The sequence below is a fragment of the Homo sapiens genome, chromosome 11, assembly GCF_000001405.40.
Source record: "Homo sapiens chromosome 11, GRCh38.p14 Primary Assembly".
Lineage (NCBI taxonomy): Eukaryota > Metazoa > Chordata > Mammalia > Primates > Hominidae > Homo > Homo sapiens.
In genome coordinates this window covers 2,862,092-2,887,343 of record NC_000011.10, presented here as the reverse complement: position 1 = coordinate 2,887,343, position 25,252 = coordinate 2,862,092, and the positions used below count along the sequence as shown (strand labels likewise).

The window sequence follows — 25,252 nt, the reverse complement described above, 5'->3', positions numbered from 1 at the left end:
TCATGGCTTTTGGTTCCACCATCAAGAGCCAAGAATGGCCCTGGCCCCTCTCCTGGGTTAACGCCCTGTCCCATCCAGTTCACCCCCCTCACTTCAGATCTCGCTTCCCTGAGACCCAGAAGACCCGCCCTGCTCCCCCAGCTGCAGCTGCACACTGCCACAGCATTCCATGGGGGTGGGGGTGTCTTGGGACTCAAAGGCAGGCTGGTTGGGGTTCAGGGGACCGCACCTTCCCTCCCTCCCAGAGGTCTCTCTGCTGGCTCACAGGCTCACCTGAGATAGGGGCTTAGATCTCATGGGCTGCTGGACCCTCCAACAGGTGTCTGACAGTCCCCATCCCGATCTGGGAGGCTCCTGGTTTGAGGAGGGGGCTCCCTGCCTCATGGTAGGTGGGCCAAAAGGGAGGCAGCAGGAAATAATGGTCTCTTTTGGTCTGGCCTGGCTGGGGTGAAGCACCGTGTGTGTGCGTGCGTGTGTGTGTGTGTGTGTGTGTGCGTGCGCGCACGACCGAGGTCTGTACCAGGAAGGGCTGCAGGCGGGGGAGGGGCATGGTCCTTCACAGCCCCTTCCCCTATGACCTCGGGCAGATCTTTCACTTTTACCCAGTACAACAGCTTCCAGCCAGCCTGGACAGGCAGATCCCGGGGCTGGAGTGGTCTGGCCCAAGGCTGAGAAGGGCTGGGACCCCCGACAGTGACATGATGGGCTCAGCCCCTGTTCCATCTACTGGGCAGGGTGGGCCTCCGCAGATAGCGGCTTCAGACTCCAGCTCCAGGGGGCTGGTGGGAGTCTCTCAAGGTGTCCCACACATGGTCCCTCGGGGAAAGAGTGGAGCTGACCCCTGTCCCCCCTCCCGACTCGAGGGCCTTAGGGCCAGCAGGTGTGTGAGGGCTCCAGGCGCGCGGAGCCCTCGAAGGGACACCAGCCCAGCAGCAGCAGGCCGCGCGGGGGCAGCCGAAGACCCCATCCGGCGCAGGCCAGGGCCGAGCTGGCAGCGGCGGGTCCAAGCCTCGTCAGCTGGCGCAGGAGGCCCACGGGCGAGCGCGGGACGGAGCTGGGCGCCGGGGTCCGGACCGGGCCGGGGTCGAGTTGGGCCTGGCCGGACACCGGACCCGCCAGGAGCCGGCCCCTGCCGCGCTGGGCTGAGGCCCCCGCCTGCAGACAAAGGAGCCGGCGGGGGGCGGGAGCCGGGGGGGTGGGGGAGTGTTGCAGGGGGGATGGGGCGAGGGGGCGGGCGTCGCGGTGTCACGTTACCGCCCGCAGCGCCCTTTAACTCCCGCCCCCGCCCCGCTCACCGCCCCCTTCCCCTGCTACAGCGCGCTCGCCCCGCGGCCGCCAATCAGCCGCGCGCCCCGGCCGCGCGCCCCGCCCCGCCCCCGGTGGGTGTGCGCGCGGCCAATGGGCGGTGCGCGGGGGCCGGGCCGCGGCGGGGCGGGGCAGCGGGGCGGCCGCCAATCGCCGTGGTGTTGTTGAAACTGAAAATACTACATTATGCTAATCGCGGCCGGGCCCGCGCGCACGGGGGTGGGGCCCGCGCGTATAAAGGGGGCGCAGGCGGGCTGGGCGTTCCACAGGCCAAGTGCGCTGTGCTCGAGGGGTGCCGGCCAGGCCTGAGCGAGCGAGCTAGCCAGCAGGCATCGAGGGGGCGCGGCTGCCGTCCGGACGAGACAGGCGAACCCGACGCAGAAGAGTCCACCACCGGACAGCCAGGTAGCCGCCGCGTCCCTCGCACACGCAGAGTCGGGCGGCGCGGGGTCTCCCTTGCGCCCGGCCTCCGCCCTCTCCTCCTCTCCTTTCCCCTTCTTCTCGCTGTCCTCTCCTCTCTCGCTGCCCGCGTTTGCGCAGCCCCGGGCCATGTCCGACGCGTCCCTCCGCAGCACATCCACGATGGAGCGTCTTGTCGCCCGTGGGACCTTCCCAGTACTAGTGCGCACCAGCGCCTGCCGCAGCCTCTTCGGGCCGGTGGACCACGAGGAGCTGAGCCGCGAGCTGCAGGCCCGCCTGGCCGAGCTGAACGCCGAGGACCAGAACCGCTGGGATTACGACTTCCAGCAGGACATGCCGCTGCGGGGCCCTGGACGCCTGCAGTGGACCGAAGTGGACAGCGACTCGGTGCCCGCGTTCTACCGCGAGACGGTGCAGGTGGGGCGCTGCCGCCTGCTGCTGGCGCCGCGGCCCGTCGCGGTCGCGGTGGCTGTCAGCCCGCCCCTCGAGCCGGCCGCTGAGTCCCTCGACGGCCTCGAGGAGGCGCCGGAGCAGCTGCCTAGTGTCCCGGTCCCGGCCCCGGCGTCCACCCCGCCCCCAGTCCCGGTCCTGGCTCCAGCCCCGGCCCCGGCTCCGGCTCCGGTCGCGGCTCCGGTCGCGGCTCCGGTCGCGGTCGCGGTCCTGGCCCCGGCCCCGGCCCCGGCTCCGGCTCCGGCTCCGGCCCCGGCTCCAGTCGCGGCCCCGGCCCCAGCCCCGGCCCCGGCCCCGGCCCCGGCCCCCGCCCCGGCCCCGGCCCCGGACGCGGCGCCTCAAGAGAGCGCCGAGCAGGGCGCGAACCAGGGGCAGCGCGGCCAGGAGCCTCTCGCTGACCAGCTGCACTCGGGGATTTCGGGACGTCCCGCGGCCGGCACCGCGGCCGCCAGCGCCAACGGCGCGGCGATCAAGAAGCTGTCCGGGCCTCTGATCTCCGGTGAGCCCCGCACGGCCCCGCCCCGGCCCGGCCCGGCCCCGCTTTGTCCGGCCGGCCGGTCCCCCCAGCCCTCGGGGGCCTCGCTGGGTTCCCGCCTCCTCCCGTGGCATTAAAGGGCCCGCAGCGCTCAGGGCGCGGCTGCGCCCTTACCCCCCTCCCCGCCCCGTTGTTGTGCCCTCCAGCGGCTTCGCGCGGGCGGGGTGGGAGGCTGAATCCCGGCCGCGACCCCCCGGGAGCGCAGTTTTCGCCCCCGGCCGCGGGAGCCCCTCCCCGGGCGCGGCCGGGCGCCGTGAGCACGGCGTGGAGGGGGTTAAGCGCGGCGGCGGCCCCGGGGGGCTTGGCCGCGGGACAAGGGGAAATGCTTACACAGCACATTGCGCGGCGACGTAAACAAAGCTGACCCGCCGCGGACCTCGGCGCGGGCGGGGACGGCGCCCCCACCCCGGCCGGCCCGCGCCCCGCGCCCTCTCCCGGCCCCCTCTCGGGTCTCCGGGCCGGCCCCGCCCTGACCGGCCGCGCGCGCTGTCGCCCGCAGATTTCTTCGCCAAGCGCAAGAGATCAGCGCCTGAGAAGTCGTCGGGCGATGTCCCCGCGCCGTGTCCCTCTCCAAGCGCCGCCCCTGGCGTGGGCTCGGTGGAGCAGACCCCGCGCAAGAGGCTGCGGTGAGCCAAGTGAGTACAGCGCACCTGGGGGGGCGCGGAGGGCCGACCCGCCGGGTCCCCGCCGGCTTTGCTGACCGCCCCTCTCCTCGCAGTTTAGAGCCCAAAGAGCCCCGAGGGAACCTGCCGGGGCAGCGGACGTTGGAAGGGCGCTGGGCCTCGGCTGGGACCGTTCATGTAGCAGCAACCGGCGGCGGCTGCCGCAGAGCAGCGTTCGGTTTTGTTTTTAAATTTTGAAAACTGTGCAATGTATTAATAACGTCTTTTTATATCTAAATGTATTCTGCACGAGAAGGTACACTGGTCCCAAGGTGTAAAGCTTTAAGAGTCATTTATATAAAATGTTTAATCTCTGCTGAAACTCAGTGCAAAAAAAAGAAAAAAGAAAAAAAAAAGGAAAAAATAAAAAAACCATGTATATTTGTACAAAAAGTTTTTAAAGTTATACTAACTTATATTTTCTATTTATGTCCAGGCGTGGACCGCTCTGCCACGCACTAGCTCGGTTATTGGTTATGCCAAAGGCACTCTCCATCTCCCACATCTGGTTATTGACAAGTGTAACTTTATTTTCATCGCGGACTCTGGGGAAGGGGGTCACTCACAAGCTGTAGCTGCCATACATGCCCATCTAGCTTGCAGTCTCTTCGCGCTTTCGCTGTCTCTCTTATTATGACTGTGTTTATCTGAAACTTGAAGACAAGTCTGTTAAAATGGTTCCTGAGCCGTCTGTACCACTGCCCCGGCCCCTCGTCCGCCGGGTTCTAAATAAAGAGGCCGAAAAATGCTGCAACTCCAGTCTGTTTGTGCTTGTGCCTGCCTCCAGCTCCCTTCTCCTGCACCCCCAAAAGCTGGAGAGCTGGAACGCAGGAGAGAGCAGCCCAAAGTGGGCATCCCCAGTCCATCCAAAAGGGGAAGCCTCTCTCCTGGCTGGGCCTGGCCCACACCCACCTGCTCCAGTCCCCTTATCTCAGGAGGGGCGGCCGGCCTGCACTGCACCCTGCATTTATCACCTCTCACCTGCGGGGCTGCAGAAAGACAAGCCTGGACTTCATGTAGCCCCAGGAGGCAGGGAGCACAGCCCCTGACTTGCTGCCCAGACCCAGGCTTGTTTCAAGGAAACCACCCGCAACCCCTCTGCTGATGGGCTCAAGCCCCTGCTAGTTTGAGGATGCGCTGAGGTGGAGGGTGTGGAGCAGGGCTCCACCAAGACACAGCCAGTCCTCCAGACTTCTTCAGGCCTTGCACCAGGGTCTCCTGTTTTTGTGGGCCAGGGTCTCCCTAGGTCTTGCCACAAGACACTCAAAGTGTTCAAGGTCTAGTCACACCTGCAGTGGAGGAGGGGCAGCCTCGAAGCCTCTGAGGGGAGGCAGAAATGGGAGCACAAGGGGGAGGTGCCCTGGAATCAGGAGGACATGGGGAGGGGTGGCTTCTGATAACCAGGCTTTGGTGGAAGAAGTCGAGGCTGAGTGCACCCCTGTGCGCCCCCACTGTCCACCCTACCAGCCCCGAGTTTCAAAGCGCTCCCTCTTAGTAAAAGAGACGTTTATTATTTTAATAGCTGACCTATAAACCTCTGAAAATTATGGCTTACAATGGAAAGGGTGATGTAAAATAGCAAAAACAGAACGGCTAGCAGTATTTTTGCTGGTGCCTTGGGCTGGGAGAAGAAAAGAACTGGTGGACCCTTACGGGGCCCTACGTGACAGTTGCTGACTTCCTCCTCCCACCTCCACCGGGGGCAGGGACAAAGGGGGGCTCAACTTGAGATGGTCGAGATGTATTTAGACATGTAATTAACTGAGCTCCCCCCAGCTGCCTGGAAGGGCTGGGCGGGGAGGGTGATGGGCCTGGCCTCGAGGCCCAGCTGGGGCCAGACTCCGGGAAATGCCCCCGGGACCTGAGAGTGGCAGGTCTCGCTGCTTCGGCTCAGCAACAGGGACCCTCAGCTGACGGTAATGAGGGACCAGACCCATGTAGACCTGGCTTCGGCCTTCCAACCTCTCCCACAGGGGAGAAACCTCCACATTCACCTGTGTGAGGAGGACAAAGCCTTTTCCCTTCTGAGATAAAGGAGGGTGGCAGTGCCTTCTGCCTTGGGCTGGGAGGAGGCTGGACCGGGTGCCTGGCAGGCAGTTAGTGGGTGCACAGCGTAACCTGAGTTAACTGTTTGTGGTGACCGATCTGCTGGGTTGGGGCCTCATCATCCACAGCTGCATCTGCTGCCAGGCCTCCTGCTGCAGCTGGGGCCGGCGGGGCTCCTACCTTGCTTAGCTTCTTGCAGTCCTGGCCCTTGGGCACAGGACATGTGGTTGCCCAGCACCCTCTTGTCACTCAAGGGTAGCTTTCTCAAAAGCAGTGTGAGGCCTTTGTGGGGACGTGAAGGTGAGGCCCAGCGCCATTTCTCAGGAGGAGTTTCTCCCCAGGGCAGGAGCTGGCTGCAGGGATGCACAGGCCACCAGCCTCCATGGGCTGCTAGTCACACGTGGGACTCTGGGCACATGTGACCCAGGCAAGCTAGCCTTTCCTTCTGGGGGGCCTCGGTTTCCCCATCTGGGCTGAGAAACGTCCAGGGTTTTTTCCAGCACTGTGTTCTGTGATTCTCACGTGGGGACAGCCATGGAAATAATACCTGATGGCACTGTTTGCAAAGCTCTCTTCTCACCCATGCTGTTGGGAAAGAGCAGATAGGAGCGTGCGTCCTGGCCCCCAGGCCTCATCCAAGCTGAAAACACAGGCACCGGCTGGCAGCCAGCACACTCATGGGTCTGCCGTGTGGGAGTCACGCTCCAGCTCCACTGGGGATCCACAACCATCATATGAGCGATGACACCAGGACCGCCAGGCACACAGCAATGGCTTTTCTCTGTGCCAGGCATATGCTAAGCAGGATCAGCGTCAACCAGGTCCCACTGTTTTCCTTGTTTGAAGAGGAAACTGAGGCATGGAGTAATCCACCTGAGGTCACACTCCTGACCTTGGCAGGGCAGAGGGATGTTGGGCTGGGGTGCTCTGGGGCCGGGCCTGGAAACCATTGCACTATCCTGTCCCCTGGACTGGGCTGGGAAGACAGGCAGTTGCTCCGTTAACCTACAGACAGTCCAGATGAAAGTGATGAGGGAGAAGGGTGAATGTGTCGGAGCCAGGGGATCAGGGTGAGGCAGGAGAGATAAGGCAGGGGAGGCTGCTGGTGCCAGGGGGCCTTGGTGGGCCTGGCCTGCTGGTGTGTGTGAGGCCGGCACACGGGCGTACATGTGGTTCAGTGTAAGGGTGTCTTTTGGGTGTGCCTGCTGGGCCTCCCCCTTCCCTGCCCTGTCCTACTGGTCTCCTGTACCTCCCCGGGCCTGATGGACTGGTGCCAAAGATTGGATTTTGTCAGCCAGCAGTGGGGAGCCCCGGAGGGACTGAAGCAGGGAGTAGTAGAAGCATCTCAGCTGCTGGGTGAGGAAGGAGGAGCGCCAGCAAGAGGGAAGGGGGTGAGGGGACCAGAAGGACACTGTGGCCATCCAGGCAGAGGGCAGAGGCACTGGGTTGGGTGGACACTCCAAGAGGCTCCAGCATGCCAGCCCCTGTTCCAGGCACCAGAGACTTAGCAATGAATAGAGAGACAGCAGTCCCTGCTGCAGGCGCTTTCTCCACTGGTGACATCAGAAAACCCCTCCAGTGGGCTGTGGTGCATACAAAGGTGGTTGGTGTGGGGGGGTGGGACAGAGCTGAGCCAAGCACCAGCCTAGCCTTTAAAACAGGAGGGGCTAGGAAGCCCCTCCTCCAGCTCCCAGCAGGTGACATAGCAGGTAATGGTGTCTGAAGAGCACTGTTTTATTGTTAGTTATTTTTTGGTTCAATATTATTAACTGAAGTCCATAGGTTACAGGAGGGTCCGTTCTCAGTGCCGTACATTCTACGGGTTTGGACAAATGCTTACTGTCCTGTGTCCACCATTACAGTATCATACAAGGTAGTTTCACTGCCCTAAAAATCCTCTGTGCCCCACCTATTCATCCCTCCCTCCTCCCTAGCTCCTGCAACCACTGATCCTTTTACTGTCTTTGTAGTTTTGCCTTTTCTATAATGTCATAGATGTGAACTCATACAGCATCAGCCTTTTCAGATTGGCTTCTTTGACTTAATAATACTTAAGGTTCTTTCATGTCTTTCCATGACTTGAGCTCATTTCTTTTTAGCACTGAATAATATTCCGCTGACCGGAGGCACCACAGTTTGTTTACCCACTCACCTCCTGAAGGCTTCCAGGTTTGGGCAATTATGAATAAAGCTGCTATCAACATCCACGTGCAAGTTTTTGTGTGGATGCAAGTTTTTGACTCATCTGGGCAAATACCAAGGGGTACAATTGCTGGATGGTGTGTGGCGGATCATATGTGAAGGGTACATTTAGTTTTGTAAGGAGCCACCAAACTATCTTCCAAAGTGGCTGCACCATTTGTGTTCCCACCGCAGCTCCTGTTAAAGCCCAGCGTGGAGAGTTCCTGTTTCTCATCTGTGTACCACACCCACCACCAATTTCAGATGAATTAAAAAACAGAAACCCTACTACAATGTGGACACGGCAAGGACAAGGCATAATTCCAAACGAACACTGATGACCGTGGCTTGATCTCACGGCCCCGGCTGGTTCGGCCTGGCTCGGGGTGAAGAGCCTGGGCCCTTGGCCGTTCTTCATCCAGCTGGCCCTGTAATGAATTGCATGTTGTCCAAATATCTGCCTCCCCAAATGCAGGAAGATTCTGCATTTCCCGCACGTCAATATCAGACGTGGCCATGTAACTTGCTCTGGGCAGTGAAACGTGACCCACTTGGCATGTACCATTGCCAAATGGAGCCCGTCAAAGCCAGGGTCCTGCCGTTTCATCCCTCTGCTGTGAGACAAATGAGACCTCAGACAGGGGCCGCCCCTTCCAAAAGAGAAAATGGAGTACAACCCCAGCCCTCCAGCGAAGGGACTGTCGTGGTGAGTGAGAGATCCTCCATGCTTGATGTACGCTGCCAAGAGCTTTGGGCCTGTTTGTTATGCAGCATAAGGTAAGCTGACAGAGACAGGTTCCTTGAAGACCCAACTCACTGTTCGAGGTTTATGGGAATGACAGCAAGGGCCTGGTGGCATTTTGAGTTGTTCTGGTTACTTGGACACATGTCCAGAAATGACGCAGAGACTCATCCCTGCAAGCTGTGTTCAGTGTCCTGCTGGTGTTGGTCTAGCTTGTCACATTTGCAGGCTGGAGGTCAGGTGTTTCCAGCTGGTAGTGACGGGTCCTGAGTTCCCTCTTGGTTACCATCTATCCTGCTATCGTGTAGTTTTATGTGAGTGCCTTAACAACTGTCTAGTAAGTCATCTTTTTTTTCTTTGATGAAGGAATAAAATGATTGTGATTTGGGGAAGGGTCAAAGTCTCAGAGATGGAGCTGGCTGCCCACACTCTAGCATCCTGAAGAAATCCTGGCTGGGTGCGGACGCTCATGCCTGTAATCAAAGCACTTTGGGAGGCTGAGGTGGGAGGATCACTTGAGCCCAGGAGTTTGAGACCAGCTTGGGGCAATATAGCAAGACTCCATCTGTAAAAAAATTTTAAAAATTAGCCAGCTTTGGTGGTGTGTGTGCACCTGTGGTCCCAGCTCCCTGGGGGACTGAGATGGAAGGATCACTTGAGCTCGGGAAGCGGAGATTGCAGTGAGCCATGATCAGTTGTGCCACTGTACTCCAGCCTGGGCGACAGTGTGAGCGAGACCCTGTCTCAAAAAAAAAAAAAAAAAAAAAAAGTGGCTGGGCGAGGTGGCTCATTCCTGTACTCCCAGCACTTTGGGAGGCTGAGGCAGTCAGATCACGAGGTCAGGAGATCAAGACCATCCTGGCTAACACGGTGAAACCCCGTCTCTAATAAAAATACAAAAAATTAGCCAGACATGGTGGTACGTGCCTGTAATCCCAGCTACTTGGGAGGCTAAGGCAGGAGAATCGCTTGAACCCGAGAGGCAGAGGTTGCAGTGAGCCAAGATGGCACCACTGCACTCCAGCCTGGGCGACGGAGCAAGACTCCGTCTCAAAAAAAAAAAAAAAATCGCAATTGCTTATTCTGAAAATTAAAAATTGTGTTATTTAAGCCTTGAAGTGGTTGTTTCAGGGGCAGCTGAGATATTGATTATATCACCAAGCTCTGCTCCATGGGCAAGCCCCTTGGGATAAAAAATGAAAATGGCCTCTGATGACCTAGTGGCGCCAGGAAGAAAACGCTCTGATCTTAGCTGTTACTTGAAAGCCCTCAGGGGCAGGACTTTCTTGGCAGGGCTTGCCTGCTCCAGTGTCAGACAGCTGTGTGTACTCACCATTCCCTTCTGCCCCAAATCACAGCCACTACTCTGCTGTTCAACACTGAGGCATAAAGTCGGGTGTGGACAGGCAGCCGGTACCTCCTCTTCTGTTAGCATGATTACACCTGTTCTCATGATCTCCTGCCAAGTAAACAACTATCCCAACACTTTGTGGTTTAAAACAGTGGTTTTAGCCGGGTGCGGTGGCTCACGCCTGTAATCCTAGCACTTTGGGAGGCCGAGGTGGGAGGATTACGAAGTCAGGAAATTGAAACCATCCTGACTAACGTGGTGAAACCCCGTCTCTACCAAAAAAATACAAAAAATCAGCTGGGCGTGGTGGTGGGCGCCTGTAGTCCCAGCTACTCGGGAGGCTGAGGCTGAGAATGGCCTGAACCCAGGAGGCCGGAGCTTGCAGTGAGCCGAGATTGCACCACTGCACTCCAGCCTGGGCGACAGAGCAAGACTCCACCTCAAAAAAACAAAAAAACAAACAAAAAAACCCAGTGGTTTTATTTATACCTATGATTCTATCAGAAATTGGGGAACAGTTGGCAGAATAGCTTGGCTCTGTGTTATGGGATGTCAGCTAGAGTAGTTTGATTGGGGTTGAGGAATCAACTTCCAATATGGCCCACTCCCATGCCTGGCAAAGCCCTGGGAGCTGCTGCCTGTGGCTCCCTTCGCAGGCCTGCTTGGGCTTCCTCATGGCATGGCAGCTGGGTTTCAAGAGCAGGTGTTCCAGGAGGCCTAGGAGCAGCTCTAGAGACCTGGCCTCGGAAGCTATGCAGCATCATGTCTGCCTCATTTGATTGATCAAGCAAGCTACTGACACCATCCCAGATTCATGGCAGGGGGATCCTTTCTGCTTGAGTGGCAAAGGGTTTGCAGCCATCTTTGCCCCAACACCCTTCTTACAGAACCCAACCCTGGTGATTGATTGATAGCCAGCATGTTTGGGGGGGTTTACTTCAGGACCCACAAGCAATTGTTACCTGAATTCAAAACAGCCTATAATCCCAGCACTTTGGGAGGCCAAGGTGTGAGGATCACTTGAGCTCAGAAGTTTGAGACCAGCCTAGGCAATACAGTGAGACCCTGTCACTACAAAAAATATAAAAATTATCTGGGCGTGGTGGCGTGTACCTGTGGTCCCAGCTACTTGGGGGCTGAGATGGGAGGATTGCTTGAGCCTGGGAAGTCAAGTCTGCAGTGAGTCGTGATCACACCACTGCATTCCAGCCTGGGCAGCAGAGCAAGACTCTGTCTCAATAAATAAGTAAATTCAAAATAAAAACAATTTTTTTCCTCTAGCATGGATTTTCAGTAATTAACAGAATTAAAAAAAAATCATCAAACACTTCTTGTGTTTGACCTGACCAAGTGCCAGGAGTGGCTTCCTGTCTAGCAAATTAGAAAGATGCAGGCCTAGTTGAGAGGCACACTGCTGTGAGTTCATGTCAGCAAGGACCCCTGAGTAAGGGCTGCAAGGCCACTGTGATGATGTCACAAAAACTCTTGATCAGGGTATCTGCCCACAGCCTTTCTGCCTTCTTTTATGTGCGTGTACATAACATGTATGTGTCTATATGTTATAGACATACACACGTACACATAATGTGTATGTATACACACAACACATGTATGTATGTGTGCATATATTGTCTATATGTACATAATTTATCTCTTTTTGTTAACTTTGTATTTGGTTTTACATTTTCTCAGCAATATGTAACAGTATCACTGCTACTTCCTTACAAAGCATTCTTATGGAAATTTGCAAACATACTCAAAAGCAATAGAATAGTACATCACCAGCCAGTTTCAACCATCATTAACATTTTTCCAATCTTGTCAATCTGTTTCCCACCTCCACTTTTACTTTTTTTTCCTTTCTGCAGTTTCATAAAGCAGATCCCTGGCTGAGCACAGTGGGTGATGCCTGTAATCCCAGCACTTTGGGAGATTGAGGTAGAAGGACTGCTTGAGCCCAGGAGTTGGAGATCAGCCTGGGCAACATAGCGAGACCCTGTCTCTATTGAAAAAAACCAACAACAAAAAAAGCAGATCCCAGACACTGCATTCCCCCAACTGCAAATTCTTCCTCCGTGCAACTCACGCAAGTTTCATTCTTACAAATGCAATGTGGACAGGAAGATACAGCGTGGGTTCTTTCCCATCTTCAGTGTGGTGCACATCAGCTTTGCCCTGGAAAGTGTCCCTTTCCACTCATTCTAGAATAACAATGCTAGCTCCCAGGGAAGGCCCTGGGCTTTGCTTGAAAATGACACAAAACCACTGCTGGCCTCACGCCACCATCTGGCCAAGTGTCTTAAGAGACCATGCACCTGGGACAAATCCAGGACATCCTGTGTCCAGTGTCACACTTGGTGGACGGTCCCTGCATGTAGGGGACATCCCACGTTCACCTTGAAATCCTGACGGGTCAATATTTGCTGCTTCCTGGATCCTCCTGTGAGCCACTGATCCATTTTTGGGAGCTGAAATAGTAATCCAAGTGGAAATGCCTCACACGCACACGATAATGCACAGACACTGGGAGCCAGGCCAGCTGGGGAGCCCTGCCCGTGGTCTTAGCCACGCGGACTTACATTTGGGAATGCTACAACCTTCACTCCTATGGTCTGCGTGAACAAAAACCACTTATCCCCCTTCCCTTTGACACTGTCATCTGCCTGTGGCTACCTTCGGCATGATCCAATCCTTTGGGGGTGCCCCTGGCCAACCATTGGGTGGTACTGGGGTCTGTGGGCAGGGGTTCAAGTTAGAGGGTGGTTGCCTGGTGGCCCACATGCAGGAAACACACAGGGAGTTTGCATGGGCCCAGCTCATCCTTAGGCGACTGGAGCCCAGCTTGGAGCAGGTGGGGTGTTGGTTTAGGGTCTGCACTGGTGTTGTCTTTCTGATTGTCTCCAATTTGGGACTTCCTCCGTCTTGCTGGGGTCTGACTTCCCCTCACTGGTCCCTCTAAGGAGTGGGGCCTGTCTAGGGTGCAGAAGCCTCCCTGGGCCTCAATTTTCCCTCACTGAAAGGAGAACATAGGATCAGAGTCTCTGAGGGCCCATCTAGCTCGAATGTTCCTTGAGTGCTTGAGCGAAGCTTGCCCATGGTTTGAGATTTGTCCCAGAACCCCTTTTGGTTCCTTTAGACCCTTCTGCTCTAGCTGGGTGCTGATTCCATCCCTGTAGCCTGGCCTACATGCAGGCCTGGAAGACCTTAATTGGTCTGTCTGTGTAGGAGGGAGCCCCGGTCCCCACCGCCCAGTGCTCTGGGGGCTATTCACTTTAATGGTCATATAGTCACATGGGTTTTTATCATGCAACCTCAGCACTTCACTCTCAGTCCTGGGAAAAAGCACATGGTCTGGACAACAAGGCCTTACACCTGAGGGCTGTGGTGAAGCCGGAATTGCAGAGGGAGAAGTAAGGACACCTGAGACCTGGTGCTGGGTTTGACTATGTCCCCTCCAGAATTCGTGTCTGAAACTTACTGGCCAATGTGATAGTATTAATGTAAGTGGGAAGCTGGGCGCAGTAGCTCAAGCCTGTGATCTCAGCACTTTGGGAGGCTGAGGTGAGTGGATTGCTTGAGCCCAGGATTTTCAGACCAGCCTGGGCAATGTAGGGAGAACTTTTCTCTACAAAAAAAGAAATATTAGCCAGGTGTGGTGATGCGTGCTAGTCAGGAGGCTGAGATGGGAGGATCACTCAAGCCTGGGAGGTGGAGGTTGCAGTGAGCCATGACCGTGCCACTGTACCACAGCCTGGTTGACAGAGCCAGAGAGCCAGATCCTGTCAAAAAAAAAAAAAAAAAAAAAAAAAAAGGGCCAGGCACAGTGGCTCACGCCTGTAATCCTAGCACTTTGGGAGGTCGAAGTGGGCAGATCACCTGACGTCAGGAGTTTGAGACCAGCCTGGCCAACATGGTGAAACCCCATCTCTACTAAAAATACAAAAATTAACTGGGCATGGTGGTGGGCACCTGTTACCTAGGTACTTGGAAGTCTGAGGCAGGGAGAACTGCTTGAACCCAGGAGGTGGAGGTTGCAGTGAGCTGAGATGGTACGACTGTATTCCAGCCTGGGCAACAGAGCAAGACTGTGTCTCACAAAAAAAAAAAAAAAAAAAAAAAGAAGAGAGAAAGAAATAGGGCCTTTAGGAGGTATTTAAGCCTGAGGGTTCCTCCCTCTGAGTGAGATTAAAGCTTTTATAAAAGAGGCTTCCCAAAGCGTTCGCTTCACTTACAACACAGTGCCATCTTGGAAGCAGAGAGCCCTCACCAGACCCTGATTGCACTGGCACCTTGATCTTGGACTTCCCAGCCTCCAGAACGGTGAGAAATACATTTCTGTTATTTATAAATCACCCAGTCTCGTGGATCACCTGAGGTCAGGAGTTCAAGACCAGCCTGACCAACATGGAGAAACCCCATCTCTACTAAACCTAGAAAATTAGCCAGGCGCAGTGGCTCACACCTGTAATCCCAGCACTTTGGGAAGCCAAGGTGGGTGGATTACCTGAGGTCAGGAGTTCGAGACCAGCCTGACAAACATGGAGAAACCTCATCTCTACTAAAAATACAAAATTAGCCGGGTGTGGTGGCACATGCCTGTAATCCCAGCTAGTCAGGAGGCTGAGGCAGGAGAATCGCTTGAACCTGGGAGGCAGAGGTTGCAGTGAGCCAAGATCGTGCCATCACACTCCAATCTGGGCAGCAAGAGCAAAACCCCATCTCAAAAATAAATAAATAAATAAATAAATAAAAAATAGAAAATAAATCACCCAGTCTCAGGTATTTTGTTACTGTGGCACAAATGGACTGAGATACCTGGCATCTACCCTTGGAGGCTACCAGTAGGCCAAGGGCCAGCCAGGTGCCTCTGTGCAGGAGCCACGCTGCTCCCTGTTTCTCTTCCAGAGAGCACTGTATGGGGCTGACCCACCTCTGCAGCCAGGACAGACATGGCCTAGGTCCTGGTCCCTGTGGAGGAGTCTAGCTGTGGTTTTAAGGCAAAACTGGCCATGCGTGGTGGATCATGCCTGTAATCCCAGTACTTTGGGTGGCTCAGGCGGGCAGATCACCTGAGGTCAAGAGTTCGAGACCAGCCTGGCCACCATGGCAAAACCCTGTCTCTACTAAAATTACAAAAAAAAAAAAAAAAAAAATTAGCTGAGTGTGGTGGTGGGCGCCTGTAATCCCAGCTACTCGAGAGGGAGGCTGAGGCAGGAGAATCGCTTGAACCCGGGGGGCAGAGGTTGCAGTGAGCCCAGACCACACCATTGCACTCTGGCCTGGGCAACAAGAGCAGAACTCTGTCTCAAAAAAAAAAAAAAAAAAAAAAAGATAAAACCAAGTTCTGTCTTGTCTGTTTTCTTATGCAAACCTCTCTCACAGCCACTGCCCTCTCTGCATTTCTTGGGTCCTAGCACCCAATTTGGAGACTGCTCTGAGACATGCCCCTTGGTTCCTTTAAGCCCAGAGCTGTGTGCCTCAACTAGATGGGGCCACGGTGATGGTGGGGTGAGCAGGAAGGAAGATGGAAAAACAGACAAGTTAAATTATGTCAAACAACTCATTTATTTTCTCTTGTTTTGCTTTCTTTCCAGTGGCTCACTTGAGGGGTTTTCTTTTTCAGTTTTCCATCTGCTTCTTTGGGGTCCCATGGAGTCAGGCTTCAGGAGAAGACCCCAGCCCCTGCTGCTCTGTTGGGCTCCTCCTGGCTCCTGTGTGCTCAAGGTGCTGGGGTCTCTCCCCAGCCTCCCGTCACACCTCTGCTGGGTTCACTCTCTCTGAGGTGGCAGAGTGAACAGGGCCGACCACTGAAAGGGGAGTAATCCCAGAAAAATGAAGGGAAGAATGCAGGTCTTTAGGAAGCCCCATAGAAGGATGGGCGCCCCCCTCAACCGTGAGGAGCCCTCCCTGTCCCATGGAGGGATGCCCCCCCGCCCCCCGTGAGGAGCCCTCTCCATGGAAACAGGGTTGAGGGCCTGACCTCCCCCTTGGAGCCCCAGAAAACAAAGTGGGGAGGGTAGGGGGAAACTGAGTTGGCGGTGGCGGCACACGGAGGACCAAATCCTCTCAAGCTGGCGTCTGGGCGGGGTATGAGGAGCAGACCAGCCACGCAGCCACGGCGGCCGGAGTCACTCGAGGTCAGAAATGCCCAAGCAGGAAATGAGATGCAACTTGTAACAGACATCAAAGGAAATGGAAAAACATTCTTCTAATATGTCAGGGAGGCTAGAGGAAGGCGGGGGGCGCTGGCCCTTTATTAGGAGACTGGGGAGGGGGCGATAAGAGATGGCACTGGAAGGCTAGAAATAATTAAAATCAAAGCACCAGACACCTGGGGGTGGGAGTGAGTGTCCTCCCTGCAGCCGGGAGACCTAAGGAGCATGCTCAGAGCCCTCCAGGAGTGCCTGGAGCAGCAGTGGCGGGCAAAGGCCTGGCCTCGGGCCCGCCTCTGTCTCAGCCAGCTCCTCCAGGCCCAGGGATGTGGTCCCCATGGGGTGCCTGCTGCAGGCAGCCAGCACAGGGCTGGTGTTGGCAGAGCCCTGGGAACTGAACACAAGCCTTTTCCTGGAAGAGAGTCCCAGTGGGATCGGGGTGCCAGCACGTGCTGGTCCCGAGGGCACAGCGTGGCCAAATGGTCTTGGGACCGAGTCCTGCTCCTTCCACACAGAGAGGCAGTGCCTAACCAAAGGTGCAGAGGGAAGAGGGCAGCCTCAGGGTCCTTGTCTGTAGCCAGGGGCCATTGCCTCCTTTTCTCTACACAGGTCTGGGCCCGATCTCTGGTGCTCACCTGAGGCTGGCCGTTTAAAGTAGGACACTTCTCCTTGCCTCTTGCCTCTTGGGAAGCCTTTGATGGGCTGCACCCTGACGCGACCCCTTTCCAGGAGTCCAGGCGCACCCCTGGTGGTGGCATGGGGAGTTGGTGCTCGGCAGTGGGTCCTGACCACTTCCTGCCCATCACAGCCACGGCTTCTCCCCTCTGAGGAGGGATTGCTTTCTCAGAAGGGCGAGCTGGTGCTGGGCATGCACGCAAGTGTCCAGAAAGCGGGAATCCAGGGCCCTGAGCCTGCGTCCCTGCCGACTCAGCCCCGGCTCTGAAAGGGAAGCAGATGGGAGTGGAGGGGACCCCGTGCCCGGGGCCTGGGACCAGGCCGGCTGGGTGTGGCTTCACCAGGATGCGCCGGGTTTCAGCCTCTGTTCTGGGGGCTGCATAAGTCAACTCGGGGCGAGTCCCAAACTGTGCTGGGCTTCGGTTTATCACAGTGGGGCTACCAGACACCAGGTTACAGCCCTGGGGTCGGGGGGCAGAGGTGGGTTGATTTTCCCAGGCCCTGGGGGAGCAAGGGAGAGCCTGCTGCTCCCCAACACAGCGATTTTCCAGGATCCGACGCTACAAACAGCAGCAACATCCTTGGTGGAAAAGTTCAAGAATCTGGTCCAAAGGCAGCCTGAGTGAGCCAGCCGGGACCAGAACCAGGAGCCGCCCAGTGGAAGGGTAGGTGCTGGATGCCCTGCAGGAGGGACGGTGGTGCTGGGGCCTTGGCCACCGGCCGGGCAGCAGCCTGGAGCGCCGACTCCAGAGGGGAGGCTGGGCGCAGCTCCCGTCGGGGCGTGCGGGCAGCTGCGCCCAGGCGGGAGGGAGCGCGCGGCGGTGGCCCAGGCGGCCCTGCCCGACTGTCGGACCGAGCCTCCCCCTCCCGGCCGCGGCCGCGCTTCCCGCTAGCGGGTCCGCGGGGAGGGGCGGGAAGGCAGCTGGACGCGGCGGCGATTTATGGGCCTTTCAGGCGAGCAGGTGCCTCCTCGGGCCGCCCATTGTCTCGCCGGCCTCACAATGGGGCTGCTGCAGCCGCAGAGCCGGCCCCGCCGCTGCTCGCGGCCTGCACGGGCACGACGGCCCCGGGACGGCGGGAGAGCCTGCGGTCGGCGCATCTGTCCGCGCGTCCGTCGGTGCGTCCGTCGGTGCATCGGTCCTGCTGCCCTCCGCGCGCCTGTCCACGGGAACGGGCCTTGGGCGCCCAGCGTCCATCCCTGCGCGCAGCACGGCTCCGCTGGCCCTCGGGGTCCCCGCGCCCCGACGGTGCGCCCGCGCCCGCTGCGCTCGCTCGTCCTGCGCCCGCTCGTCCTGCGCCGTCGGGCACCCGGCTCCGCCCGGCTGGCACGGCCCGCGCCGCTGCGTCCCGGTCGCACACACAGGGGCCCATTCTTCCTGGCTCCGCGCAACCATATGGCAAATCCGCGTCGACACAGCAGCCCCCGCTCATTCAGGCGCAGAATGTCCCGCAACAGGGAACAATCACGACTCTGTTCGCGTCTATTATGGATGCGAACGGGGCGAGAAAAAAAATCATTTAACTCCAAGAGATAGCCAGCTAATTAGCAACCATATGTGAGCCCGGATTCAAAGCGATGCCGAGGAGTTCATTCTGCGTCGGGCGACTTTATTAGGTATAGAAGACAGATGTCCCGACAGCCCACGCATCACAGAAAATCGTGTCGGGGAGTTCTTGAAATGTCCGGGAGAGCTCTTTAAATATTAAAGACCCAGCCCAGCTGATGGACTGGGCCGGGGTCCTCTGGGATCCCCAGGCTGCAAGAAGAGGACTTAGCAACAGCGACTCTGGCAGACGCTGGCCTGGCTGGCCCAGGGAGGGGGTCCCTCCGCCTCCCTCCAGGGCCCCCTCTGGCTGCCCCTCCGGTCTCAGACTCTTTCACTCAGGTGCTCTGGGGCCCCAAGGAGGAACAAAGGGGCTTCCTGCAGGCACGGTTGGCCCAGTTATGCTTCAGGGTGCCTCCGAGGGTCACGGTGTGGCTCTGTGGGGGCGTCCCAGTCCAGGAGAGGAAGGCTGCCTGGGGAGTGTCTGGCTCGCCCTGCCCCCAGCCCAGCTGAGCTGGACAGACAGTAGGTCTTCCTTCCGAGTTTGCAGAATGAGTGAGTGAGTGAATGAATGAATGAATGGATGAGCCAGTGTGGCAGCCAACCCAACTATGAAAATCCCTCGGGGGGTGGGCGGGAGTGGGGACAATAGTGGAAGGAAAACACTCCCGATTTCTTTACCAAGAAAACAGCCTCTGGCCGTGAGCCTCCGATTCTTTGAGGAAGGAAAAGGAGAAAGCTTGTTAGAGAGAGAGAAAAAAATCTTTCTCTGTTTTCCATGCAATGCAATTATGTTCCAGCTTTTCCTCCTTGTTATTCTTTTAAGCCAAATGTCTGAATAAAAGGATTATTCCCTGCGCCCCCCCAGGACTGACCGTACCGCTGTCAGCAGGCGGGGCGCTGCTGGCGAGATTAACTGCAGCCTGTGGCTTCCGCATTGCTTCTATGAAAATAAGTGAGGTCAGCTGCCATTCAATTGTCGCAGCATATATATTTGAAAATTTAAATATTTGAATCAAAGGAAAAAGGGGGATTTGCATTTCTGCCCAACGCGAGGAGCGCGTTCCGAATGCCGCACAATGGAAACGTTTCAATTGAAATGAATTGTCTCCTCGCAGGAGGATTCTGTAGAAAGGCAGCCAGTGCTTTCTCTTTTGTTTTCTTTTGCTTTTGTTTTGTGTTGTGTGTTTTTCTTTCCTCTTACCCGCTTCAATCCAGGAGGGTGTTTTCTGAAAGTTGGTGACTGACTTTGGTTTCGAGGACATAAAGAAACATGGAAAAACTCCCCAGAAACACTCACATCAGAGGCCTCTCTGGCACAAAAGCAAAATTGAATTGAACATGTGCGGGTGAAAAAATAGATACAGGGGGTGGGGGGACTCCCAATGCCACTTAGAATGGGCTAATCAGCTGACTCCAGCTGGTCTGGACGCGGCTGTTAATGAAGGCCCCGGTGAGTGGGAGGGAGGCCCAGCGCCTCCGGCAGCCCCTGGTTCTTCAGGCAGGCCCTGATTGTCCAGGTCACCAAAGCCGTCAGCCACTCAGAACTAAATGCCACTGTCCCCAATTAGCATTAGGGGTATACAGACGTCAACTCTGCACATGGCTTTTTTTTTGTCTCTGCCTTGGAAAATGGTATACTGGGGGACTCTCTACTTGCACAATGTGCCCCTAGGTGTTGGGATGATGCATCTGAGGGAAACTAGCCAGGAAGAGCCAGCTTCATGCGCTCAGTCAGAGAAGGTCTCTGAGCCAGGGGTACGTGGGGGTTTCCACTGGTCTGGAGGGCTGGGGTGTGGTCTCTCTGTCTGCCCTGGCTGTGCGGGCCTGGACAGATGTAATCCCTCTGTGGATGCTGGGTGTATTCCTGCCTTGGAGCTGCCATCACAAAGCATCACAGACAGGGCTGCTGAGACAGCAGATGTTTATCATCTACCAGTCCTGGAGGCTGGAGTCCACGATCAAGGAGTCGGCAGGGCTGGTTCCTCCTGAGGCCTCTCTCCTTGGCTTGCAGACGTCACCTTCTCCCTGTGTCCTGGGAGGGTCATGCCTCTGAGTGTGCCTGTGTCCTCCTCTCCTTATAAAGACCCCAGTCCTGTTGGATTAGGCCCACACCAATGGCCTCATTTTAACTGTTTTCTGTAAAACCCTGTATCCACATACAGTCATGTGCTGAGGTGCTGGGGGTGAGGGCTTCGACATATGATTTTTGGGGGATACGATTCCTCCCATAACACTGGGCTTCCAGATTGGGCGTCCTGCCCTGTGGCCCGGGATGCCTGCTGGTGAGTGGCAATGTCCAGACCTCTGGGGACCTGGTTCAGCATGAGAGCCAGGTTGAGCTGTGGCACCTGCTCCTGAGCTGGGGGTAGGTGTGGTGACTGAGGCTGATGACAAATGCAGGCTCCAGGGCCTCCTGCATTTCAGAGAGATCTCAAGTGGCATTTGGGGACCCTGGTATTCTCCTCAAAGGATAAGCGTCTAGACACGGATGCTGTCTCACCCCCTCCCGCCCCCCTCACTGAGAAACGAGGCTCCTCTGGAAGCCGGCACCATGCCAGGCTGTGGGGAGAAGGCAGGGGCACCTCCAGGGGCTGGTTCCCTGCCAGGGGCTCTCAGTGCGGTGCTGCCAGCCCCACACCCGTGGTGTCTTCTGCTTATTTTGCTCTCTTGCTTCGGCCTTGGGCTTTCCTTGCCTTTTCTTCTCTCTTCTCTCGTTCCTACTTTTTCTTCTCTTTCCCAAATCTGCCCCTGCCCCCGCCCCCCAAGAAATTCCTAAATCTGAATAAAAGCCCAACAGGGCCCAACAGCGAGACCCACCCCCCAGCTCTGCAGGATGACCTGGGCCCAGCCCTGACGTCTGCTCTCGCACCCGCTGCTCTGTTGCTGTGCAACCTAGGCAGGTTAGTTGACCTCTCTGAGCCTTGGCCAGCCTGCCCAGTGGCAGACACAATGCTGAAGTGTCTCTTGGGCAGAGTGAGAAGGAGCTAATGAAAATGGCTGAGAAAACAGTCTAGGCATTTAAAAAATGTCACGTAATTGCAAAATAATAACGATAACAACAATATACTTTGGAATTTTGCTGGAACTGAGAGCAGGCCCGAGTGGAATTTGGCACTGAGTGGGTCTGGCCTGGCTTCCATCCAAGGGGGTTTAGTTACTGAGGTGCCCCCAGGACTCCATTCTGAGGCAGCCCCTCTCGTAAGATGGTCCTGACAGTGGACTCTGGCATGGGCTGTGGCTGGGGTCCCTCATCGGCTGGGGCCAGTTCCAGGCATTATTGCTACAGCACCCAGGTCACAGGGCTGGCAAGCCAGTGGGGCTTTTTATTTCTTTTGATTTCCAAATTGAAAATAGCCATATATTTCCCTTGGTTGTAGAAATAGCAGCATATGCTCATTGTAAAAAAAAAAAATGCAAACAATATGGGAATGTATAAAAAAGACAGTAAAAATTCCCCCAGATAGATGCTGCTATCCTGAGATAAGCGCAGATGGCACTTTGGGGCTCTATATCATTTTACATCTATGGGACTCACATTTACTTTTTAAGTCCAAAGCACATATTTTATTTTAATTAAAAAATATTTTTTGAGATAGGATCTTATTCTGTCACCCAGGTTGGAGTGCAGTGGCACGATCATGGCTCACTGCAGCTTCCAACGCCTGGGCTCAAGCCCTCCACCCACCTCAGCCTCCCGAGTGGCTGAGACCATAGGTGTGTGCCACCATGCCCAGCTAATCTTTAATTTTTTTTTTTTTTTGTAGAGACAGGGTCTCCCTATGTTGTCCAGGCTGGTCTCCAATTCTTGGGCTCAAGTGATCCTCCTGCCTCGGCCTCTCAAAGTGCTGGGATTATAGGCATCTGGCATAAAGGTATATTTTTAATAGAGACAGGGTCTTGCTATGTTGTCCAATCTGGACTGGAACTCCTGGGCTCAAGAGATTCTCTCACCTCTGCCTCTGGAGTAGCTGGGACTACAGGTGTGCACCATTGTGCCCAGCTCAAAGTACCTATTTTAAAGTATTAGAATGTCTATCTATTTGTATACACACACACAAACATATACTGTTTTAATTGAAAGTATTTAACCATAACAAACTGTTCAAGAGACCCGTAATCTGAGTGTGATAAACAAAGTAACAGTTTGGCAGAGAGTTGAGTACAAGCAGCTGGTGACAGTGCTAGGGCGGGAGAAGGCGGCTGGCGTCTTTTAAATGTGTTAGGGAAAGGCCCCAGGTTACAGGATTGGGAATGCGCTGTTGTTGAGAAGTGGCCGAGGGAGTACGAGGACAGTTCAAATGCTCTGGGTCTACCCTCGAGTGTGGGGTGAACATGGCGATTGCAGCAGTGGGTCCACACGGCACCTCAGGGCCCAGGGAGGGTTTGGAGGCGGAGGGCAGCTGGGCTGCACTGTCTTCCCCAGAGGAAGATGGAGGCCTCTGGTTAATGAAGCAACCACAAGGGGTTAGGACCAAGAGATGTTTGTCTCAAATGGGTGTAACCATCCCATTTGAACTGTTTCCTGGAAAGAAATGAAAGGGGGATTCTGACGGGGCACCTGTTATTTTATTGATAGGAAATGGTTTCCATCCCGTGACCATGGAAATTTCCACGGTGCGTCCTGGCCGTGCATATTCTATGAGCCAGCTTCCCCCAGCCCACGGCATGTCACTGTGCTGGCACCCATGAGACAGTGCCCTGCAGGATGGGTGACAAGGGTGGCTGAGCCCTCCGGCCTCGGCCTCGGTGTCTACTGGAACCCCCCATTAGGTCCCCCAGGTGGGCCTTGAGTACCAGCAGGGGTGTGGGCCAGGCCCTGAGCTTCACCCTGAGGGGAAGGTGGATGGGACTCCTTTCAAGAGCCAGGTGAGGGAGGTGTGGCACAGGGCAAAGGTTGAGGCTCCTGGGTGTCCAGGGAAGAGCAGCCCCTGAGGGGCCTGAGGACACTCAGAGGAGGAATGGGTGGAGGAGAGCTGGCAGCCAGGGTGCCCGTGCAAGGGCGCAGCAGGGCAGGCTCAGTGATGTGGAGCTGGAGGGTGGGCATTGAGGCGGAGGTGGGGGGTGGGGGGTGCGGCTGTGAAGGTCACGCCAGGGCCAGGGTGCCAGAGTCAGACTGGTGGCAGTTGGGCCAGATTCACTCTGTCAGCTGACTTCAGTCCCAGCTGAGCCCAAGGCTGAGGGATCCGCCTGCACTTTCAGTCCTCTGGCTGAGCAAATTACGAAAGTATCACAGAATGTTTCAGGAACAGATGATTTTCTTTCTCTTTCTTTCTTTCTTTCTTTCTTTCTTTCTTTCTTTCTTTCTTTCTTTCTCTTTCTTTTTTCTTTCTTTATCTCTTCTTTTTCTTTCTTTCTCTTCCTTTCTTTTTCTTCTTTCTTTCCTTTCTTCCTCCCTCCTCCCTCCTCCTCCTCCTCCTCCTCCTTCTTCTCTCTTTCTTTCTCTTTCTCTTTTTTTTCTTTCTTTTTTGAGATAGGGTCTTACTCTGTCACCTGGGCTGGAGTATAGTGGCACAGTCATGGCTCTATGTAGCCTCCACCTCCCAGGCTCAAGTGATCCTTCCTGGGACTACAGGCGCGCCGCTACGCCTGGCTAAAAAAATCAGAAGATTTTTTGTAGAGATGCGACCTCGCCAGGTTGTGCAGGCTGGACTGGAACTCCTGCGCTCAAGCAGTCCTCCCGCCTCGGCCTCCCAGAGTGTTGGGATTACGGGCGTGAGCCACCGCGCCCGGCACCCTTTTCTTTTTAAAGGTCTGTGGCTGAGTTTTGTATTGGGAGTATTCTTACTTACCCAGAACGTGGCTCTGTCTCTGTTTCATCGCTGGTGGTGGAGCAAGTGAATCACCCACCAATGTATAGGTTTTCTAAGTTTGTGGTTGAAATTTTGCTAGTAAAGTGGACACATCACAAAGAAACTGCCTCCCTCCCTCACTCTGCCCAGCCTGCCCCAGCCCTAGGCTTCGAGGCAGGCCTGGGCTCCCGGAGGATGCTCCCTGGCGCTGTGGGGCCAGAGGCCTGGGCCAGGCTCCTGCTGGGGCTGGAGATGGGCGGGGTGGCGGAGGCCGGCCCTGGCCTGCCTCATTTCTGCGCTCCGACCAGCCTGGGAATCTGTTTCTGTCATGAAAGGCGAGGGTGACCTGGCGGGCTTCTGCTCCTGGTTGGTCAGAAAGTCCGGGGATCCTTGGCTCCGGTTAAAGGGGCCCCCACGTCTGCCGTCTTGCCCGGCCGCCTCCAAGTGCCGCCGGCCCAGGGCTGAGGAAGGCGGGCCGCGGGGAGAAGGCGCGAGGGCCGGGCCGGGCAGGGGGTCCCGGAGCCAACCCCACCGCCCGGGCCGCCCCGGGCCCGCGCCCGCCGCCCCCACCGCGCCGCGCGTCTGTTTGGAGAAGAAAGCGGGCCAATTTGTTTTCATTCAGAATCACTTAAGATCCCATTTTGGAGAAATGAAAAGAGAGAAGCGCGCTTCCCGGGCCCGGGCCGCTGGGTGCCCGCCCGTGCCCGGCGGCGCGTCGAGTGGAGGGACAGCGGCCCCCTCCCTGCCCTCGGCCCCAGCACGCCCGGCCGCGGCTCCCGGAGGTCCGAGGAAGGCGGCGAGGCCGCGCTCATCTGCATGAAGCGCACACTCGCGGCCCATCTGCAAAGGCGCAATTAAACGCGGGGGTGGGGGGGCAGGGGCGCCCGAAATTAGCATTTCCGCGGCCATCTGGCGCGAGGAGCGGGCGCGGCCGGACAAAGGGCGCCGGGCGAGGGGAGAGGCGAGTGTGCCGCGGCATTGACCTGCAAATGAGGCTTTGTGCGCGCATTAAAGCTCGCCGGACCCCCGACCCCGGCCCCCGCCCCGCCCGCCAGGCCCGCGGCCCCTAGCGGCCCAGGCTCGGACTGGGCACCCCGAAGGTCTGGGGGTCGGGCCGGGCAGTGCCGCGACTGGGCAGGGGGCCGGGCCGGGCCGGGCCTGGCCGGGCCAGGACAGGCTGTGGAGCGTCGGAGCCCCCCACCCAGGCTGGGTTCCTCTGCAGCCTCCAGGAGAGCCCCTGGGACCCTGGCCCCTTGAACCCTACCCCTGCCCCCATCCGGTCCTCGCCCCTCTGGGCCGGTATTCCCCAGCCTACTCCTGGAAAGGATTTCTCAGGACGCAGGGGTCCTGGCTAGAATCCCTCGGGGTGGGTAAGTGGAGGGGGCGTGGACAGGTGG

The 25,252-nt window shown here is 56.7% G+C and overlaps 1 protein-coding gene and 1 long non-coding RNA gene across 6 annotated transcripts, besides 7 other annotated features; one reads left to right on the top strand and one right to left on the bottom strand.

Moving 5' to 3' along the window:
- Positions 72–907: an enhancer, noted in NCBI's record as "H3K27ac-H3K4me1 hESC enhancer chr11:2907667-2908502 (GRCh37/hg19 assembly coordinates)". NCBI's record gives its function as "activates a minimal SCP1, AML or CMV promoter by ChIP-STARR-seq in naive H9 embryonic stem cells {active_cell/tissue: H9 hESC(naive)}" and the evidence as "EXISTENCE:reporter gene assay evidence [ECO:0000049][PMID:30033119]".
- Positions 908–1,743: an enhancer, noted in NCBI's record as "H3K27ac-H3K4me1 hESC enhancer chr11:2906831-2907666 (GRCh37/hg19 assembly coordinates)". NCBI's record gives its function as "activates a minimal SCP1, AML or CMV promoter by ChIP-STARR-seq in naive H9 embryonic stem cells {active_cell/tissue: H9 hESC(naive)}" and the evidence as "EXISTENCE:reporter gene assay evidence [ECO:0000049][PMID:30033119]".
- CDKN1C (cyclin dependent kinase inhibitor 1C) lies at positions 1,569–4,126 on the top strand. 5 transcript variants are annotated; one of them, NM_001362475.2, is made up of 4 exons: positions 1,569–1,710; positions 1,878–2,142; positions 3,210–3,345; positions 3,434–4,126. In NM_001362475.2, the coding sequence occupies exons 2-4, from the start codon at positions 1,888–1,890 to the stop codon at positions 3,568–3,570; spliced, it is 528 nt and encodes a 175-aa protein (NP_001349404.1). In that variant the 5' UTR covers positions 1,569–1,710; positions 1,878–1,887; the 3' UTR covers positions 3,571–4,126. The 5 variants fall into 5 exon arrangements, with proteins under 5 accessions (NP_001349404.1, NP_001116103.1, NP_001116102.1 ...); NM_001122631.2 differs by having other exon boundaries at positions 1,878–2,674; NM_001122630.2 differs by having other exon boundaries at positions 1,878–2,674; positions 3,429–4,126.
- Positions 1,744–2,579: an enhancer, noted in NCBI's record as "H3K27ac-H3K4me1 hESC enhancer chr11:2905995-2906830 (GRCh37/hg19 assembly coordinates)". NCBI's record gives its function as "activates a minimal SCP1, AML or CMV promoter by ChIP-STARR-seq in naive H9 embryonic stem cells {active_cell/tissue: H9 hESC(naive)}" and the evidence as "EXISTENCE:reporter gene assay evidence [ECO:0000049][PMID:30033119]".
- Positions 3,852–4,351: an enhancer, noted in NCBI's record as "H3K4me1 hESC enhancer chr11:2904223-2904722 (GRCh37/hg19 assembly coordinates)". NCBI's record gives its function as "activates a minimal SCP1, AML or CMV promoter by ChIP-STARR-seq in naive H9 embryonic stem cells {active_cell/tissue: H9 hESC(naive)}" and the evidence as "EXISTENCE:reporter gene assay evidence [ECO:0000049][PMID:30033119]".
- On the bottom strand, positions 15,239–17,311 carry KCNQ1DN (KCNQ1 downstream neighbor). The gene is made up of 2 exons (NR_024627.1): positions 16,480–17,311; positions 15,239–15,499 (listed from the first exon to the last, which is right to left on the bottom strand). It is a non-coding gene; the product is annotated as a KCNQ1 downstream neighbor (long non-coding RNA).
- Positions 17,912–18,420: an enhancer, noted in NCBI's record as "H3K4me1 hESC enhancer chr11:2890154-2890662 (GRCh37/hg19 assembly coordinates)". NCBI's record gives its function as "activates a minimal SCP1, AML or CMV promoter by ChIP-STARR-seq in primed H9 embryonic stem cells {active_cell/tissue: H9 hESC(primed)}" and the evidence as "EXISTENCE:reporter gene assay evidence [ECO:0000049][PMID:30033119]".
- Positions 18,420–20,188: a transcriptional cis regulatory region, noted in NCBI's record as "candidate enhancer chr11.592 targeted for multiplex CRISPR interference". NCBI's record gives its function as "positively regulates CHRNA10 gene expression in K562 cells {active_cell/tissue: K562}" and the evidence as "EXISTENCE:mutant phenotype evidence [ECO:0000015][PMID:30612741]".
- Positions 23,688–24,385: an enhancer, noted in NCBI's record as "H3K27ac-H3K4me1 hESC enhancer chr11:2884189-2884886 (GRCh37/hg19 assembly coordinates)". NCBI's record gives its function as "activates a minimal SCP1, AML or CMV promoter by ChIP-STARR-seq in naive H9 embryonic stem cells {active_cell/tissue: H9 hESC(naive)}" and the evidence as "EXISTENCE:reporter gene assay evidence [ECO:0000049][PMID:30033119]".

Coding starts and splice junctions, on each gene's coding strand:
- CDKN1C (NM_001362474.2), top strand. CDS start 1,855: ATGTCCGACGCGTCCCTCCGCAGCACATCCACGATGGAGCGTCTTGTC. Junction 2,675..3,209: donor GTCCGGGCCTCTGATCTCCG/GTGAGCCCCGCA, acceptor TGTCGCCCGCAG/ATTTCTTCGCCAAGCGCAAG.